This window comes from Homo sapiens, chromosome 3, assembly GCF_000001405.40.
Source record: "Homo sapiens chromosome 3, GRCh38.p14 Primary Assembly".
In the NCBI taxonomy this organism is placed as follows: Eukaryota; Metazoa; Chordata; class Mammalia; order Primates; family Hominidae; genus Homo; species Homo sapiens.
Genome location: NC_000003.12, coordinates 13,662,066 through 13,682,190, shown reverse-complemented (window position 1 = coordinate 13,682,190; position 20,125 = coordinate 13,662,066). Strand labels below are relative to the sequence as shown.

At 51.5% G+C, this 20,125-nt stretch overlaps 1 long non-coding RNA gene across 1 annotated transcript in view, besides 3 other annotated features; it reads right to left on the bottom strand.

Annotated features, from left to right (window-relative positions):
• The window catches only part of LINC00620 (long intergenic non-protein coding RNA 620), a 95,915-nt gene that overhangs the window by 64,445 nt on the left and 11,345 nt on the right, over window positions 1-20,125 (bottom strand). The window lies entirely within an intron of this gene.
• Window positions 74-619: an enhancer, noted in NCBI's record as "H3K4me1 hESC enhancer chr3:13723071-13723616 (GRCh37/hg19 assembly coordinates)". NCBI's record gives its function as "activates a minimal SCP1, AML or CMV promoter by ChIP-STARR-seq in naive H9 embryonic stem cells {active_cell/tissue: H9 hESC(naive)}" and the evidence as "EXISTENCE:reporter gene assay evidence [ECO:0000049][PMID:30033119]".
• Window positions 6,592-7,093: an enhancer, noted in NCBI's record as "H3K4me1 hESC enhancer chr3:13716597-13717098 (GRCh37/hg19 assembly coordinates)". NCBI's record gives its function as "activates a minimal SCP1, AML or CMV promoter by ChIP-STARR-seq in primed H9 embryonic stem cells {active_cell/tissue: H9 hESC(primed)}" and the evidence as "EXISTENCE:reporter gene assay evidence [ECO:0000049][PMID:30033119]".
• Window positions 19,548-19,842: an enhancer, noted in NCBI's record as "tiled region #4110; HepG2 Activating non-DNase unmatched - State 20:ReprD, and K562 Activating DNase matched - State 4:PromP". NCBI's record gives its function as "activates a minimal TATA promoter and a strong SV40 promoter by Sharpr-MPRA in HepG2 and K562 cells {active_cell/tissue: HepG2 | K562}" and the evidence as "EXISTENCE:reporter gene assay evidence [ECO:0000049][PMID:27701403]".

The window sequence follows — 20,125 nt, the reverse complement described above, 5'->3', positions numbered from 1 at the left end:
TGGCAGTCCACCGATGTGTACATGTGCACACCCAGGCGCGTGCACACACACACGCACACGCACACGCACATACACATGCATGCACACACATGCACACTCACACACACATGCGTGCACACACGTGCGCATGCACACACACATACATGCACATACACACACAGACACGGGCCTGAAAGAGGAATTAAGAAATGCCACAAAGCTCAGAGCAGGGAAAGATATTTTCCGCGTAGAGTCCCTGGAAGAGGAAGAGAACCCCTGGCTAGAGCATCCGTCTCGCAGCCCTCTTCTCTGTTCCTGTCTTCCTCTCTCCTGGCTCCTCAGGCCCAGGAGGAGTACCCTTGTGGCCACCAGCCCTGAGTCCTGACGTCCTGCACAATGGGCTCTAGACACTGTGCCCTTTTCTCTGGAAATAGTCCCCTGATTGAATATCTCCCCTCCCCACCCCAGCCCATGCCCTTCCAGTTCAAGTGGGCCTCTGTTTCCCACTGTGGTCCTGCACCCGCTCCCAGGCCTTCTGCGAGTCACTCACACACTCCCCTTCCTAGGAGGGCTCCTCTCTGGCCTCGCCTGGGTCAGTTTCCATATCCCCACTAAGCCACCACAGGCCAGGAGTTGGGGGTACTATCTGGCCACAGTCTCCACAAGGCCTGGGGTCAGGGGAGGAGCCAGCAGCCCAGAAACACACAGCCCACTGTGGCAGGAGTGGACCCCACGCAGCCAAGTTCCCCCAGCCTCCCTCCTGAGCTCAGCCTGGGTGTGCTGGGTCTGGGGTGTTCATGGCACATCCCAAAGAAGATGCAAGGAAGCCACTGGATACAGAAGCCTGGGGTTCAGGACAGAGGTCTGTGCTCCAAGGGTCTCCAGGGTGTGGAAGATTCTATAAATAGTTCCTTGACGTAACTTCCCAAATCTGTGTACCTCTGTTACTGCCACCTGCTCCCAGCAAGTGGAAGCTTTGTGCAGGCAAAGGCAGAGAGTCACTTGCCACCTTTGGACATAAAGCAGCAGGCTGCAGTGCCACGCACAGTAGGTGCTCAGTAAAGAGATCGTCACTTGAAGCACAGAAACACAATGTCTGAGCCCAAGGGTCTTTAGAGATCAAAGACTCCCAGAGGAAGCTGAAAACTCAGAGGTCCACAGGGGCCCAACAGTTGCCATAAATGAAGGGAATGGGCTAGTGTGGGTCATGGGGAGCTGGAGAGCCCGTGTTCTGGAAGCAGGGACTCCACTGCCAAGAGCCGTTGACCATGGACCTGCAGGGTTGTGGGCCCCAGGTGCACAATGGACTCACATCAATGGCTTCTCCCCTCATCTAAGGCTCTCTTTCTATTGAAAACAAATTGGGGTCTCCACGAAACTTAGTGGCCCAGCTATGCACAGCACTAGGACAGAAGTCTAGCCCAGGTCCCCAAGGAGTATGGGAGTGGCCGGGCTGGTGAAGGCAGCAGGTGGTGTTGGTGCCAAGCCCAGATCCCCCTTGTCAGGAGGTACACCCATCCCTCAGCCATTGCCAAGGTCTCCACCATTGACTCACAGCCACGCTTAACTGGAGAAGCACCAAAAGCACTGGAAATACCACGAAGCTTTATGTATCATCCCACTCGCACCCCCAGGGCTGCCTGCAGCTGTTACAATATCCTGTAGGACTGGACTTCAGCTCCGCGGTGCCATTTACCCCCCAGCACCCCTCGTGAGGTCAGGCTGAGTCTAGACTTCTCCTGCACCCTCATGCTTGCTTGGTGTCATCCTCCGCCTCACCTGCTTCTCTCCATCAGTAACCACAGGCACCCAACCCCTGTCTCAGGCTCTGCTCCTAGGGAAGCAACCTGAGCAGCGAGGGTGGCAGCGGGAAGACTGGGTGGACAGAGCGAAGACCTGAGTACACCTGAAAGTGAGAGGAGGGAGACAGATGCAGTGTGTAGAGAAGGAAGCTGCTGGGGAGAGGGGGCCCCTTGCAGCCAAGACCTGCAATCTCCAGGGAAAGTGTCCAAAGACACAAAGTTGATTGACAGTCATTGTCAACGTGGAGGAAAACCAGGGAACTGTCGTTATCACCATCTTCCCTAAGGAATTCCATAGCCAGCCAGTCAAAAAAATTCACTGAGGGCCTGCTGGGTGCTGCAGCTGTGGGGGGCGCATACAGGTGGGTGAAGCCACAGCCTCTTCAGCCTCATGGAGGTGCCCGCCTGCTTCTATCCTTCCTTCCATCCACCTGTCCTTTCTCTCCAGATCGTCTTTCAGCCCTTACATTCTTCCACACTCTGTTTACAATAGACTTCATGTGTGCTGCACAGCTAAAGTTTCTTGAAACCCTAAGAGAGGAATCGAAGGAAAGAAGCTCTGGAAAAGCCCCAGAGAGGGAGGTACTGAATCAGAATGCAAATCCCAGAGGGCTTCAGAGAGGAGGAGACCCCCCGAGTTGCCCTGAGGGAGGAGCATATGAAGAGTAAAGGGGGATTTGATCTAGGTAAGGGAAAGGCTGTGATTTTTAGCTGGCAGCATCCAATCTCTCTCTTCAAGCCCCCAGATGTCTCTCAGAATCTCCCCTTTGCCATTCTAGGGGTCCTCTTGGCAGAAAGAGGTACTCCCCTCCCACCATGGAAGTCCAAGGCTCCAGCTCCCTGCTTTCTGCCCTATGGCAGCTCCATGCAGGCATGGATATGGGCTGAGCTGGCCAGATGTCCAGCCCAGGACTCTAGGTCTTGAGAGAGCCACCCACAGGCTTTAGAAGACTGAGGAAGGCTGGAGGAAGGCCACATGTCCCTGCCAGCTCCCCAGAGAGCGCTTCAGACTGGTCCCTTTTTTGTAAACATAATGCCAGATTCAGTGATGATTGAGCCCCTCACTTTTCTGTCCCTTTGCTCTCTGTAGACATATATCTGTGAATTATACACAGTATTATTTTGACTGATTTTGCATTTTATACAGAGGTATCAATTGCACCTTGCTTAGTCAGGCTCAGTGTTGTATTTTTTGAGATTTATCTATGCTGACCTTGGTAGCTCAAGTTCATTCATTTTAATAGCTGTATGGTTATTCCAAAGTATGACTACCACAGAACTGCCCAGATGAGCCACAGATTCAAGCATAATAACAAAAGTGGTTGTTTTTGTTTGTTTGTTTGTTTGTTTGAGAAGGAGTCTCGCCCTGTCGCCCAGGCTGGAGTGCAGTGGCGCAATCTCAGCTCAGTGCAAGCTCCACCTCCTGGGTTCACGCCATTCTCCTGCCTCAGCCTCCTGAGTAGCTGGGACTACAGGCATCCGCCACCACGCCCAGCTATTTTTTTTGTATTTTTAGTAGAGACAGGGTTTCACCGTGTTAGCCAGGATGGTCTGGATCTCCTGACCTCGTGATCCGCCCGCCTCAGCCTCCCAAAAATGTTTATGTTTTAAGCAAGCAAGTTTTGGGTTGTTTTGTCATGTAACAATAGCTAACTAATGCAGATGTCTTCAGATTTAGCCGCTACAGACAGAGAAAGCAGGCTTACGTGTCTCTTGGTGCCCACACATGTGAGCAATTCTTAGAAGTGCACTCAGAGTTGGTGTCACAGTGGAGGAGAGTTTGTCCATCATCAGCTAACCTGGATCTTCTGGCCACCTTCTGAACTGACCCCAGTGATTCTGTGCTCTCCCACTATCTCTTCAATGAATTCCCATTTCCTCAAGACAATGAGAAGAACCAACCAGCAGACTTGAACTTGTAAACAATAAATGATGGTTATTTTCTAACTTTGTTTTTAATTATTGTTACTGATTTGGGGGATGTTTTGTTACATGGCAATTGCTGATACAGCTACCTAAATCCAGCTGCAATTGAAAAGCACCCATCAGCCAGGCGCAGCAGCTCATGCCTGTAATCCCAGCACTTTGGGAGGCCGAGGCAGGCAGATCACCTGAGGTAAGCAATTTGAGACCAGCCAGGCCAACATGGCGAAACCCCATCTCTACTAAAAATACAAAAAAATTAGCCAGGGTTGATGGCGGCCGCATGTAATCCCACCTACTCAGGAGGCTGAGACAAGAGAATCACTTGGACCTGGGAGGCAGAGGTTGCAGTGAGCTGAGATCACGCCACTGCACTCCAGCCTGGGCTACAGAGCGGGATTTCATCTCAAAAAAAAAAAAAGAAAGAAAGAAAAGAAAAGAAAAAAGAAAAGAAGAACACCCATCCAGCTTCTTAGATCCAAGTCCTTTAAGATCAAGAGAAGGAATTAAAAGCAGTCACACTCACACTGGCTGGTTGGAGCTCATGCAAAAAAGTGACTGTCAGAGCTCTTTAATCCCTCTAAACTGGGGCTCAGAATAACTGGTCCCATTACTCCTGCCGGAATATCATGCAAAGTAGGGCAGCTCCCCTCTCATCTCTGAGTCTCAGTATTCTTTGTTGTCTGTAAAAAAGGGCACTAATTTCTGACTCACAGACATGTTGTGAAAATGGAGTAAAATGATAGGATCTGGCACAGTTGCAATTTTTCAGTTCCTCTTCCCCTGATGGACTGAGTGACCCGGGGTACACCTCTGTCACTTTTTGGACTTCTTCATCTACAGTTTAGGAATAGTCGCTACTATCTTAGGAGAATTTGTGGAGTAGATGACAGAATGGATGTCAGATATTACATCAGGAAGGATGCCTTTCGTGACAAGTCACAGAAGACCCATTTTAACTAGTCCAAACTGTAAGGGGAATTTATTAGATCACATAACAGAACATTCCAAAAGTAGATGGTTTCAGGCATGGTTTGATCAAGGCTCCAACTTCGTCTCTCTACAACTCTTTCTCCTCTACAGCCCTTTGGATGTTGGCTTTGCCTCAGGGTGACTGTCCTCATGCAGTGATTGGCTTAGACACTTACTATGGCTCCATCACTCTGACAAAAGAAATGAGACTGTGCCTCCTTGTTCAGGCCAAGCAGTGCTCGCTCATGGTAGAGCTAAGGTAAAGATAGTCACCTTCAATATGTCATGATCACTGCATAGTGGGGTGAGGACAGGATTGGGTGCTGAAGAGGCCACATGAGGACTCTGACAGGTGTCCAGCCCTATGTCATATGGGTTAAAGTACTACCTCCTCTATCACTGGCATGTCCCTACCTGGGCCTCAGTTTCCCCTCCAGTAATATAAGGGGGCTGCCTGGATGTTGCCTCTCGACTTCCACCCTGCCCTAACTCCCAGAGCCCAGGCCTTGATGGACTAGTTTGAGTCTTAGGTGGGAGGCTAGGGCCCACTACCTGCCACTTGGGTGGAGTGGGCTCCACGGGCAAATGCATCTGAACAGAACAAATTGCTAGGGCATTGTTTCTCATTCTTTCTCAGGGTGAATGATTTCCAGTAGATGACTGGGTGGGTGAATGATTTCCCAACCCTGCACAAGCCCTTTCCAAGACCATAATTGCATTTCTCGTGACAGGTTCCCAGTCGGGGCTCCCCCTCCAGGGCCAAGGTGTGGCAAACTCCGCTCACACGTTTTAAAGCCATCTATCTGTCTGCTGCCTGGCCACCTTCTGCCTGCAGCCTGGGGTCTGGATCCTTGGGCTACAACTGAAGAACTGAGAGTTCCAGTACTGGCTCTAACATTGCACCAGCCAACACAGGGTCGCCAGCCACATATGGCTGTTTAAATTTAAAACCCACTCCTCAGTTGCACTAGCTACATTCCACGTGTTCAGTGGCCATATGGCTAGTCTACCATATCAAACAGCGCAGCATGGAACATTTTCATCACTGCAGAAGGTTCTATTGGCCAACCTGTCTCCAGCAGAAATTCAGTGGGAGACCCCAGGCAGTCCCCTCTCCCTTCTGACCCCCGATGTATGCTTCCATCCTTTCCAGCTGTGACCCTCAGTTTCCTCCTCTGTAAAATGGGGGCGACAGTGCTAAGGGATACATTTGTGAGATAAGGGCTGTGAAATGCTAAGCCCTGGGTTCAGGCTCGGGACACTCCAGGGGAGGGGGAAGATGTCACAGGGGAGGGGGCCTTTGAGCAGGCTTCACACAAGAAACTTGCTTGGTGTCCAATGCAACAGTCATTCCTTCCTGTGGGGCTAAAATGCATAGTCCTAGGGAACAAATGATGATTGTCCATGCCAATCATGACGCCCATAATCATTTGTCTGCAATGGGACAAGGGGTGACCATGTGACATCAGGGGAAGTCTGCTGGAGGCTTCTGGGAAAACATGTCCTCCCTGATAACAGAGAAGCACATCCAAAGAAAGCCCCTTTGTAACCTGCACTCCCACTTCCTGCTTTGGCTTTACAATGTCTGGTGCTTTCACAGCCATTTTGGGGCCATGAAGCACCATCCCAAAGGGGAAAGTCAACACACCGGGGCAGCCGCATGGGAGGACGGCAAAGTCTGGGTCCCTGATGTCTTCGTCTGCCCCCTCATCTCCAGGCTACTTTAAGATAAAAATGAATGTCCTTGGTGGACGGATTATTGTAGCCAAAAGCATCCTAAGTGATTCTCTTTCAAGGGTGAGTCAGTTTGCAGGTGGGCAAGATGCAAAAGAACATTCCAGGCCAAGAGAGCAGTGCGCTGAGGACACAGGGGTGGGGGGCGAGTGCTGCGACCTAGGAATGGAGAGTGGTAGATGCGTGAGGCTGCTGGCAGAGCTGGAGGTGGGTGAGGGCGGCTCAGTGCCAAGTGGCAGAGTTCAGACTTTCCCTTGCAGGCTGGTGGTGGGGTGAGGAACACTGGAGGGCTTTAAAGGATGATGCTGAGTTACAGGGTGAACTGTGGGTCAGGACAGGTTGGCAGGAGGAGACTGGAGGCAGGGAGGCCAAGGAGGAGGCCGGGGGGGCTGATTATGTAAGGCCAGAGTGGGAAGGAGGTGAGGGAATTGGGAGGGAGGGAGAGGGGAGGAGCAGACAGGTGTTGGTGACTGCGCTACTGAGGTGATGAGGGGAGGAGGAGCTGAGGGTGGAGAAGGAACTAAGGACAGGGCCCTGGGGATGTGGACACCTGATGGAGACTCGGGGAGCAGAGGGAGTGGTCAGAGAAAGGCAGGAGATGAATGCAGAGAGGGTTTCCAGAAGGAGGGCTGGGTACCTGCGTGGAATACCGCTGAGCCCTGGGTGCTGTCTTCACAGTGCATCCAGAGCCGCCCTCACCAGCACCACCTCCCACCTGAGTCAACACCACCAGCCCCTCAAGCAGCTTCAGCCTCCTGCTTCCTCCCTCACTCCTTGCACTCAGTCCTCCCACAGCAGCCAGAGGGAGCCTAGCAAAACCTAAGCCAAGTCACACTCCTCCTCCGCTCCACAACCCACAACCCCTGTGGCTCCTACCTCCCTTAGAGTAAGCCCGAAAATCCTCACCACCACCTTCAACACCCTGAAGACCTGCCACCTCCCACCCCACCTCTCCAACTTCATATTCCCCTACTCTCTCCCTACTGTGTTTCAGCCACGCTGCCCTCCTCACTATTCTGTAAACAAGCCAAGCATATTTACACCTGCAGGACTTTGCACTGACAGTGGGCACTGGAGATTTTGCAAAGCTCCATCCCAACAATGAGCAGAAAAGACAGGTCTTCCCTAGCTACCTCATACGACACCCCTGCCTCCCCACAGCACTCTGCATCCTCTGCCCTGAGTTATTTCTCTCCATAGCGTAAATACTGGGCGATTTAGCAGCTGGAAGCAGCTCCACGTGTCTTTTCTGTTCATTGTTGTGTCCCATGCCTAGAAGATGCCTGGCCTATAGTAAGTGGTCAGTGAGATTTGCATAATGAATGAATGAATGAAGTTCAAGTAGGATAAGGTCTGCAAATAGTCCTCTCCGAGTTTGGCGATGAATCCAGAAAGTGGGAGGCGTAGAAGCTGAGGCAGCAAGTATAGAGGACTCATTTAGCAAGTTTGGTGGTGAATGGGAAAAAGAAACAGGATGGGGAAAGGAAGTGAGGGAGGGCTTTATGTTTCTGATGCATGTTGTTCACACATGTTTAAAGGCTGAGTGAAGAAGCCAGTAGAGAGAGAGAGTTCAAGACCCAGGAGGGGGGTAACTGACAAAGCTGGCCAGGGGTGGTGGGAGGGAGACAGACCCAGAGCCTTGGACAGTGGGCTGCATGCCTTTGGCGGGGACAGGAATTGGGGTGTAGGAGGCCCAGTTTGATAATTTACCTCTGAAAGTGGTTCCTGCAGTGGGAAGGGCACATAGAGGATGCACAATGACAAAAGTACTTCAGATTAGTTTGGTTTATCCAAAGGGGGTTTTGAGGGGCCACTTACATTCCACATAAACAGAAGAGTCAACAATAGCACCTAACAAACATTGATCAGGGCCCACTCTCTGCCGGGTACTGGGCCCAGACACTGGGGAAAATTCTGTTTGTGATGTAGCACGACTGAGTACTAGGAAAAACTGAAACTCTGAAACTCTATTTTCAACACCTCCTTTTTTTTTTTTTTTTTTTTTTTTGAGATGGAGTCTCTCTCTGTCACCCAGGCTGGAGTGCAGTGGTGCGATCTCCACTCACCGCAACCTCCTCCTCCTGGGTTCAAGCAATTCTCCTGCCTCAGCCTCCTCGTTTCAAGCAATTCTCCTGCCTCATCCTCCCAAGTAGCTAGGATTACAGGCGCACACCACTGCGCCCGGCTAATTTTATATTTTTAGTAGACGCAGGGTTTCACCATGTTGGCCAGGGCCAGGGTGATCCACCTGCCTCAGCCTCCCAAAATGCTGGGATTACAGGCATGAGCCACTGTGCCCGGCCCAACACCTCCTTTTTGGGGATGATGAGAATGAAATCCATGTTGGCCTTTCCTCCTTTACTTGGCCACTAGGAGGCTCAAAGCCAAATTTGCAGGTCAGCTTGTAAAGCTATGCAGAATTCTGTGACCCATGTGGGTGCATTCCTACGGCCTTCCCAGACTTGATTTCTAGTTAGATTTTTATTTTGCCTTTCCCTGAAGTTTTTGTTTGCCATTGCATGTCTGCGGGGCTGTATAGCATAGAAAACCTAAATAACAGTGGCTTAAAACATGATAGAACTAGAAGCCAGGAGGTATACAGACCAGACCTAGACACCTACTCTACACTATTCCCAAGTACTTGGGCTCCATTCCACCCTCCTCTGCCTTATTTCAGGTGTGCCCCTTTCTCATGCTCATAAGGCAGCTACAGAGTTCCAGCCATCACATCCACATCCCAGGCAGAAAGGGAAATAATTGCCAGGGAACAAACAACAAAATGAGTTTCCCAGAAGCCTCTCTCAACAACATCTGCTTAGAATTCATTGGCTACAGCTGTGTCCCACGTCCACTTCTAGCTGCAAGGGAGGCTGAGAAATGTTTTTACCTGGGCATAGGTAGCTCTGAACAAAATCAGAGCCCTATTACTGAGAAGAGGGGGAGATGGGTATCGGTTAGCTAAATAGCAATGTCTACCAAGGTTACCTATATTTTTGTTTTTCATCCTTTATAGAATAAAGAAACACACAAATGTTGGAATGAGCACATAAGCCCTATGGTTTTGGGGGCAGCTATAAGCTCAGTCTGCCTTGTTTGTGTCTCTGTCTTCAGTTTCTGCAGCAGGATCCGGCACATACAGCTGGCACTCAACAAATATTTGTTGATTTGAAAAGGAACCAAGCACCTCTTGTGTGGAGAAGAGTGTCACTATCCCCATTTTATAGGACAGAAAACGGCCTCTTCTCCAAACCTCAAAAAACATCAATCCACAGAGTCACTGGACTTAAGGTTCTTATTTCACAGAGGAGGAGATGTGGCCCAGAAATGTTAAATGACTTGCCCAAGATCACACAGCAAATTCATGGCAAAGGCTAGAACCCGGGTCTTCCGAGTTTTCTTTCAGATTAAACCTGGTCCAGACAGAACTCAGCCTGAAGGTTGTCTAAGACAGGGTTTCTACAGTCCCCAGGACACCAGAATTCCAGTATCCACAGTGAACTTAGACATGGGGCTCCATGAGGTGGGAAACTGGAGTCATCTTTGAGTCATACAGCCGCCACAACGCCAAAGGAATGGTGAAAATAATTAAAAAATCACTTTCGATCAAATTCAGGGTGAAACTCATAAACAATGAACTTGAGACAGAGGGGGGTTGTTTTCCACTAAAAGTCCATTTCCTTAGGTCAAAAACATTTTTGGCAGGATGGTTTTCCAGTAGACCATGAAGACCTGCACATGCCCAAAATATGTAATCCCTTAATAAGTGCCAGAGAAACCCCACGTTGGCGTCCTGACAAGTTGCCACCTGAATCACAATACAGTTTCAGCCCCCAGAGAGGAATCAAAGTCCCCCTTATTAAAATGCATTATTTATGGCTTCCAGAAAGTCTTCCAGACCCCTGACAGCTTAGGAATGAGCTCAGAAATTAACTCTTTGATATTATCAGGGTCAATCCATCTCTCTGGATTCTTTGCACCATGTTCTCTTTTTTTCTGAAAGGCATGTACTGGAGAGGAATTTCATTCAAGGCACAAAGGAATGACGAAGTCAGCTGGGGAAGTGCATTAGTCCCTTTGCTGAACAACCCTCTGATTCATCTGTCCTTTCTGTAAAGACAGAAATGACTTCTTGTTTCATTAAAGGTAACCATGAGGACAGGAGAACCCAGGAGGCGGCCGGGGATGCAGAGAGTGAGCCTGGTGCACTCCTAGAGACCACCTCATCCCACAGAAGCTCAAAGGGGGCCTGAGGTCTTGCCTTTGTCACATGGCGAGCCAGCGCACCAAGGCTGTGGGAGGGGAGAGAAAATCAGAATCCCAGAGCCAGTATTGCCCTCTTGGAAGTCCTTGGCAAAGTTCTGACTGCATGGAGCCTCAGTTTTCCTCTCTGTAAAATGGCTGTAGACCCAAGCCCAATGTATTAGAATTGAACCCCTATTTATTTTTCAAGCAAAACCATTCAAGGAAAACTTTTTTAAAAAAAAGACGTAAAGTGTAGTCGTTCTTCTCCCAGTCCACCTACCATAGATGCCAAGGGACCCCCTGGAACTCTGCGGCTCCATGAATAGCTGAATTTCAGCATAAGCTGGGCACTGACACACCTCCGATATGGAGCTCTGGGTTCTGCAGTGGTGGGAAGACGCCTTCACCACTGAGCTCATTTCTGACTGTGCTGGCTCCCTCCTTGCCCACAGGTGCCGCCATGGCAGAGACAGGACCCCTGCTGCAGGGGTGGAAGAACTGGCTCACCCTTCCCTGCCCAAGCAGGGGGCTCCTTGCCCCCTCCTGGCTTATGCTTCCCAGAAGCCATACTGTCCAGGTTAAAGCATGGGAAACCGTGGGAAGTGAGTGCTGGCTACAGGCAGGAGACTTCTGGCTGGGTCTGTTACCAGTTCACTGGATGACTTTGGGCAAGTCACTTTCCCTCTGTGGGTCTCAGTTTTCTCTACAGGGACAATGCCAAAGAATATATAGGTCAGGATTGTTTTAGTTGCAAAAGGACATCCAACTCAAATTTACTTTTAAAAATGGAGACATGGAATATATTGGCACCAAGTACATGAAAAGCTCAGTAGTGGTTGCAGATCCAGGCAAGGTTGGATCCAGGCTCCAACAGATGTGGTCAGGACCCTGTGTCTTGCTTCTTTCAGCTGTTTCCATTCCTGTGCTTCATCCTAGGCTGGGTTCCCCACAGTGGCAAGAGGCCTGCAGTAGCTCTGGACTTACAGCCGCATGGCCCCAATCCCAGCACAAAGCAGGAAGTACAGCCCAGGAGACGCCAAGCAGAATCTCAGGATCCATGCTTATTGGCTTGTCTCATGTCATGTGACCATGCCAGAGCCCCAATCACTGTGCCCAATAGGGCATTCTCTTCTCTGATTGGCCTGGCCCGCCAGGCAGGCCAAATCCACAGATGCCAGCTGAGAGGACCAGGGGCTCCAATTTGTTTGTGCTCTGGAACCCTGTCTTCAAATGACAGCTCACGCAGGTACCCATCACCTAATGCAGAAGAAGGTTCTAGTTGCTTTGGTAGAGGGAATTGGGCAGTCCAGGCCCCATTCACACACTGTCTCGCCTTCGACTCGCAGGAGTGATGTACCACCCTTCTCCTGGCCCAGCTGCGCTGGACCCCAGCGGGGTGGTGGAAGGACCTCTCGGCTCCCTGGATGAGATGCTCTGGATGGCCTCCAGGGCTAGGAATCAGGGTCTGTAAGGCCAACGACAGCTTGAGGTCAGGGCCCCCATATGACCTGCCCCTTCCTACTGACAGAGCCCAAGGTCATGTCACCCACCCTCCTAGCTGACTGACAACTAAAGTCCTCCTCAGCAAGCCGCCTCTCCACCTCCACAGTCAGGTGCTTGCCTTCTAGGTGTTATTGCTTGTTTAGTCTTCACTCCAGCTCAACGGTGTGCTTTGTGAGGGCAGAGGTGGTGCCAATTTTCATCACTCTCCCCAGGCTAGTACAAAGTCTTGATAAATATTAGATGGATAAATAGATGGATAGGGATGGATAAACAGTTGGGTGGGTGGGTTGAATGGATGGATGACTAAGTGAGTGGATATGTGGGTGGGTTGATGGATAGGTAGGTCAGTGGGTGGCTGAATGGGTAGATGGATGGACAGACACGTGGGTAGGAGAGTGGATAGGTGGATGAGTGGGTGGGTGGGTGGATAGATGAATGGATGGGTAGGTGGGTGGGTGAATAGGTGGGTAGGTGGCTGAATAAGTGGATGAGTGGGTGGGTGGGTGGATGGATGGGTGGATGGATGGAATACATGTCTTCCTAGATATCCCTTCTCTAAGAAACTAGGACTAGGAACAAGCACGTACTCAGGCAGAGCTCCCAGCTTCCTTCAGTATCAGACACCTATACATAGAGGGTCCCAGCCCACATAGTTTCCTGCTCCTCCCACCTCCGGCCCTTTCAGGGCAGCCCTGCAAACACTGGAGGAGGTAGTGACCAGGACCCTTGAGGCTGCCTCTCCAAACTGAGTGACCCAGCTCCTCCAATTGCCCCTCACGAAGTGAAGTCTCTCCTGCCTGGCCACACCCACTGGACACAACCTAGTCCATGCCTGTCCTTCGGTAAAGGATCCCAGCTGCAACATTTAGGGGGTTCTGAAGAGTACAGAGGTGGAGGCAGCAATCAGCTCCCTCCTTCTAGGCTCTATGCCCTAGGTAATGTGGCCTCTGGGCACATTTGCTTTTATGTGCCACACGGGGCTGAGCCCCTAAGCACCATGAACAGTGCTAAGCCATATCTTCCTATCCTGGCCATGTGCAGTTTGCTTTTTGGACCCAAGTGCTGGAATTGACATTTATTCCTAGTCAAATTCACTTTGCATGATTCCTGCCAATATGACAAAGCCATTGTGAGTCCTGAGTCAGGGTTTTGAGCCATTTCCACCTCAGCCCAATGCCCCTCACCATTCTTTGCGCAGCCAGGAGCCAGATATGGAGACATTTCTCCCTGAGGAAGCCATGGTAGGCAGGGGGAGTGGAAGAGGGGAGGGCAGCACAGTGACCTCGTGGTGAGTGCCTGAGTCAGACCCTGGTCCTTGCCCTGCCTCCCAGTGTCTTCATTTTCCATTCTTTGCTTCCCCCATTATCCTGGGTTGGGGGCTGCAGTCCCCCTCCAGCCAGAAGCTTCCTAAAGACTCAACCCACTTCCCCCCAAGAACCCCTGAAAGTGGACATGACACGAGTGTGTTGTGTGCTTTACAGATGAGGAAACAGAGGCCTGTAGAGAAGATGGGCTGGTCAAAGATCTCCCAGTACCTCTGGGGCCAGACTGGATTCCTGCTCTATTAAGGCATCTCTGCCACTTACTAGTCTGGGCCATGCAGTGGTTAGACAAGGGGGACACATTTCTGGGGTGGAATATCAGTTCCACCCCACGTGAGCCAGGTGTCTTTGGACATTGACCTCTCTGGGCTCAGTTTGCCGAGTTGTAAAATGGGATTAGTATAGGACTCACCCCACACCACACAGTGTTAGAAGGATGAAATGAGGTCGTCTATATGGAATGTGAAGAACGGTCCCCCCACCTGGAAATGGGCAGCAGCTCTGCATGTCTGCCCTACCGTGTGCTAGACAGAGTGCTGGGCACACCACATACATCCTCACCTTTCTTCCTCACAGCACACACGCTAGTTAGAAAGTTGTTCACATTTTACAGCTGGAGAAACTGAGACTCGAAGAAGGAAGCCCAGCCTGCTGCACTCCCTACCCCAAAAATGGCCACTTTGTGTTCTATTGAACAAGAAAGCAAAGGTGCCCACACTTGGGTCACTGCCCACCTGTTTCCGAGTTCACAGTTATTCTGATTCTCATTTCCAGGCACCAGTCTGGGCTCTGAGGAGCTGCGGGGAGCAACAGAGATGAGGTCCCTGCTTTTTCTGTTATGGAGAGACCAGGATTGACCTTCAGCCACCACCCACTACTACCTTTATTTGGTGCCACACCGTACCCCTGAGAGATCTGGACTTTAAACAAGCAAACAAATATGTAAAAAGACACATTCCCAAAGTGATCCTGCCGTGATGAAGACAGATAGGATAGTGAAGGGATGGGGGCGGGTCAGGCACATTTAAGCCAACGTGGGTAACCAGTAAACCTCTCTGGAGATACAGTTTGAGTTGTGGAGAAAAAGATAGATGGTGGCTATCTGCGGGAAGAGATTCCAGGCGGAGGAAACGGCAGGTGCCAAGGCCCTGAGGCAGGAACATGTTTGGCATATGCTTCAGAAGCAATGAGGTGGCCGGCATGATGCAACCCAGAGTGAACTCCATCCAGTTCAGACAGCAGGAGGCGATGAGGCTGGCGTTAAGGATCCCAGGAAGAAAGCCTGCCTCCCTAGAGGGTATCAGCTCTTCCAGAGCATGGGGAATTCTGTATGAAGGAGGAAACAAACGTAGCATGGATCACTTTTGATCCCAGAACATTTTGCATAAAAACTAACACACAGCTGTGGGAGTAAGGAACCGGTGTCACGAATCAAACATTAAAAATGCTCACTCTGAACAGGCAATTTTGCTTCAAGACACTGATTCTAAGGAAGCAGCATTAGATGTAGACAAAGATTGAGTGGCAAGGGTGATCAGGGGCATGTTCACCACAGCAGGGAAAACCTAGGAAACACTGCAGTGTTGATGGAGGGTTTGGCTGCACATATCACACCCTGCCAAGGCGCCGGATACTATGCGGCCGTGTGAAATGGTATTATAGAGAAATGTTTAATGGCACAAATTCATGAGCACTATATAGTATTAAAATGAAAAATAGCATGGTCCTTTCTTTCTAAATATACATATGTATATATGGGCATAAGAAAAGAGATTAGCGATGCTAATGACCGTCTCTACGAGAGGGACTTGCAGGCAAGTATTCTTGTCCTCCTTTTGTTTATCTGAATATTTTTTCACCTAAAAGCCACTTCAATTCCCAGGTTAAGTTCACAGGGAAAGTTTAAAGAGATGCATGGCTTTGTGGTCCTATAGCCAAGAGGGGTCCCAGAATGGTGGCCTCATGACTCTGGTCCCTGGGATGGGTCCGTCTGCCATCTGCAGTCCTCTGGTGATGCAGTACCTATCCTTTCATGCCGTCAGGTGCCAAGCCCTGTGTCCAAGCTTACCCCGCACAGATTCCAATCTGGGAGATACTATTGACACCTGACAGATGGGGAAACTGAGGCTCAGGGAAGGGTGGCAACCCACCCAAGGTTTCACAGCTAAGCATCGCCAAAGCTGGGACCCAAACTCAAACAGACTCTGGAAGCCTGTGATTGGATGAGAGCACAACTTATTCTACCCACCCACTCACCATTTCTCAGTTCCAACCACGTGCCGGGCCCTGTGTAGGGCAGCTTTACACATGCCCTCACCATGATGGGAAACTAGGCACAGAGAGGTTAAACAATTTCCCTGAGGCCACCCAGCCTAGAAGTGGCAGAGCCTGGAGCCCTGACTCCCCACTGCACACTCCAGCCTCCATACTGGGGGAAGTCCTGAGGGAGCCAGGAGGATAACTGCCTTCTATTCCTAACGACTTGGTGGGGAAGCCGAGGCAGTTGTGAGTGGTTGCAGGGAGCTGCTGATGACCCACTTCCCAGACAGTCCAGTCTACCTGTCTGAACCTCCCAAGAGATTGAGAGCCTTGGGTGAGAACTGATCAAAGGTCTCCATTAGAGGTTCTGCCAGAGCCCTGGAGTTCCGAGGAAGCCCAGAGAGGGGTGGTGACTTGTCCAAGGTCACACAGCCCAAGAGCAGCAAGGCAGGGCCCATAAGCCTCCCTTCCCCAGACACAACAGGCTGGAGTAAGGGGACTGTCAAGGAGAAGGAAGGAGAGAGCCTGCATCTTCCAGGCAGAGATTCCTCACGTCTGGCAATCACGTCATCGGCGGGGACGCCACAGCCCCCGGAGTCACCGTCCCCGTCCTTCATGACCTCATCTCTTGGCTGGGACCCAGCCCAGTGCCTGATGCCTGGAATCAATACCTCTTGGCAGCACCCAAGGCCCCCTTGTCTTCCTGCCCCCACCCTGGGCAGCCCTGCCCAGCACCTCGACCTACCTCCCACGCCCATCACAGCAGGCTGGAAGCCAGCACTGAAATCCTCAGGGAGCGCAAACTCATTCCCTCCCCAGCGGCTCGCCTGTGCTGAGGTGGGAGGAAGGAGCCTCTGTTCGAATCCAGACATCTCCCCACACTTGCCACCCCATGGGGGCAGCTCACATGGCCTCCTTGAGCCTCAGTTTCCCTGTGCGACTAAGGGAGGGATGAATCCAACTTACTGGATGGCCATGAGGTTCCACTGTCAAACACAGTGCCTGGCAAACAGCAGGGACTTCATATACACTAAGTCCCTCCTCTCCTTAGTCTGGATGCTTAATAAAGCAAGTTCAAGTTAACTGTCATCACAGTTAACAGCAACCATGTGAAGGAGGCAGGGGGACCAATGACTCCTCTTTACAGATGGGAAAGTGGAGGTTTGGGGAGGGTAACATGGAAACAGGCTTTGAACCCAGCACCTTATGACTTTAAAATGCTGCTCAGGGCTGCATCTCAGCACCTGGGCTGGAGAGCCTCTTATAGAACATGTCACCCAACCCACGCACCTGTTCACAGGTGGGAAAACTATGGCTCAGAAAGGTCAAGGGAGCACTGAAGGTCAGAGAGCTAGTCAAAGACGGGGCTGGGTGTCTACACTCCAAGTCTGCGGGGACTGGAAATCTTCAAAGCCTGTGATCTGGAGAAGGCTGTGGCAGGATGGTTCCTTCTCTGCAGCCACCCACTCGCTTGGCCCCTGTGCATTAGCGGGCAGCTGCCATGTGTCCCTCCAGCGACAGGGCCTGTCCTCAGCACCCTGCCCTGGGGATTGATATCCCTGTATCAGATTTGACCAGGATATCGTGGCTTCTCGAGGCTTCGAAGTGTGTCCCTGCTTCCCAGGCCCCGCCAGCTTCAGAGCAGTGGGACAGAGTGTCCTAGGAGGGGCTAAGAGAGGTGAGGCCCTGCACCAGCTGGGGCTGTAAAGGCAACGCAGGTAGCAGAAGGGAGATGAGAGAGGCAGCTCAGCTGCTCCTGTTGGTGTTATTATATTGTTTTTGAAAAAAAAAAATCCAGATTTCTATGTGAAATCTCCTCATTGAATCACTTAAAACACTGAGTCTCAGATAAAACCTCCCTGCAAGCTGAAGAAGGCCCCTCCAGAGAGGGCCCTCATGGACGGAAGGGCGCCTGTGGTGAGGGAGCAGGGAAACTTGGGGATGAGGGAGGGGAATTTGGCCCTAAACCTGGAGCCTCAGTTCCCTGCGCTGTAAAGCGGGTCCATCAGTCCCAACCCGGCTGGGTGACTGTGCAAATGCTTCTCGGGCTCTCCAGAATTCCACAGGGCCGGGCTCACCCTGGGCTTTCTCAGGCTTCCTGGTGGGATGGGGTCCCCAAGTGGCCCACTCCTGCTCTCTGCAGGCTGGCACTCAGGCCAAGGACACCCCAGTGTGCACCCTTGGATTTGCAGCCATGGCTGCAGGTTTGGGGCAATTCCTGTGTCTTCACTGACACTTTCCTTTTCTCTCCCCAGCCCAGAAAGCAGGTGGGAAGGCCCGCATGGGAAGGGTGAGAAGGGAGAGCTGGGAACAGGCTCTGGTTCAGAGGTGGGAGCAAAAGGAAACCATTCCCACCTCAAGTCTCATGCATTTCACCCAGGGCACATCCAACACCACACACCTCTCAGCAGCTGAGACAGCGGACGGGACAGCCACAGGGCTTGCCTGGACTCAGCTACCCACCCTGAGCCATCGGGGCAGCCTGCGGCCGAGAGGAGTCGGGGTTAGAGAGTCCCCATGCCAGCACCGAGTAGGATGAAGCCACTGTGGTAGGAAAATGTTGCATCTCCCCCACGCCCTGCCAAGAAGAAAGGCCACATCCTAATCTCGGGAATATTTTGCAGAGCAGAAGAGACCTTGCAGATGTGGTTTAATCAAGGACGGGGAGATGGGGAGATTACACCAGGCTGCCCAGGTGGGCCCAATGTGATCACAAGGTCCCCATAAGAGGGAAGCAGCACTTTGGGAGGCTGAGGCCAGTGGATTGCCTGAGCTCAGGAGTTCAAGACCAGCCTGGGCAACATGATGAAACCCCACCTCTACTAAAAATACAAAAAATTAGCCGAGCTTGGTGGCCCATGCCTGGGACTGATGGACCCGCTTTACAGCTACTCCGGAGGCTGAGGCAAGGAGAATTCCTTGAACCCGGGAGGCAGAGGTGGCAGCAAGCCAAGATCTGCCACTACACTCCAGCCTGGGCGACAGAGTGAGATCCTGTCTCCAAAAAAAAAGATGGGGCAAGGCAGGAGGTCCGAGTGGAAGAGATGGGGTGGCCTCGCTGCTGGCTTTGAGGATGGAGGGAGGGGCCCTGAGCCCAGGAGAGCAGGTGTCTTCCAAAATCTGGAAAGGGCCAGAAAGGGCTTCTCAGAAGGCATGTAGCCCAGGCGACACCTCGATTTTGTCCCATAAAAGCCATTTTGAATGTCTGGCCCTCAGAACCGTCAAAAGAATAAGTGTGTGTTGTTTTCACCTGCCCCATTTGTGGGAATTTGCTACAAGCCCCATAGAAAAATAATCCAGCCTTGAGTTCATGTCCTTTGTAGGGACATGGATGAAGCTGGAAACCATCATTCTCAGCAAACTATCGCAAGGACAAAAAACCAAACACCGCATGTTCTAACTCATAGGCGGGAATTGAAAAATGAGAACACTTGGACACAGGAAGGGGAACATCACACACCGGGGCCTGTTGTGGGGTGGGGGAAGTGGGGAGGGATGGCATTAGGAGGTATACCTAATGTAAATGACGAGTTGATGGGTGCAGCACACCATCATGGCACATGTATACATATGTAACAAACCTGCATGTTGTGCACATGTACCCTAGAACTTAAAGTATAATAATATATATATGTGTGTATATGTGTGTGTGTGTGTGTGTGTGTGTGTGTGTATATATTAAATAATCCAGCCTGAAGATGGCGTGGGGCAGGAGCAGCTGGGGCATGAGGGAGCCCCAGGCACGCCTCCCACGGGACACTAAGCTACCCCCGGGAAAGACCGCATTCCTAGCGTGGGCACAGCCGTGGGCATGGCGGGGTACTCCCTTTCCCACCACGCCACACACGGGCCACTAGGAACGGCTAGCCGGGCTACCCAAGGCCGGTCTACGACATCCCGCCCCTTTCTCTCCACGATTGGTCCAGATGAACCAGGTCCAAGCCAATCAGTGCATGGCCTCCTCCTGCCCCCAGAACAGGCATAAAAATGGGCCAATCGGTCCAAAGGCCAGAACCTCTGCTGGCTCTGCGGGAAATCCTGCCAGAGACGCCTGGAACCACTGCAGCAACTTTGCGATCATGAGGGAGTTAAAAACCAGAGGAGGCAGGAGCAAGAGAGTCGCCAGTAAGGGAAGATGAGCCCTGAACCAGAACAATGGCTGTGGAGAAGGGCCAAAGGGGGCCAGAACAGGAGGACTCTGGAGAGAACCGGGAAACCTGGAGCTCTGTGGCACTGGGGAAGAGAAGACAGCCTGTGGGGAAACTGAGTCACCACCCTCTATCTCATCTACATTCTCCCCACAGCAGCCAGGAGCACGCCATGTAAACCTAGGTCAGACCACCACCCTCCACTGTTCAGAACCTCCTGACAGGGTCCCCGCCCAAAGTC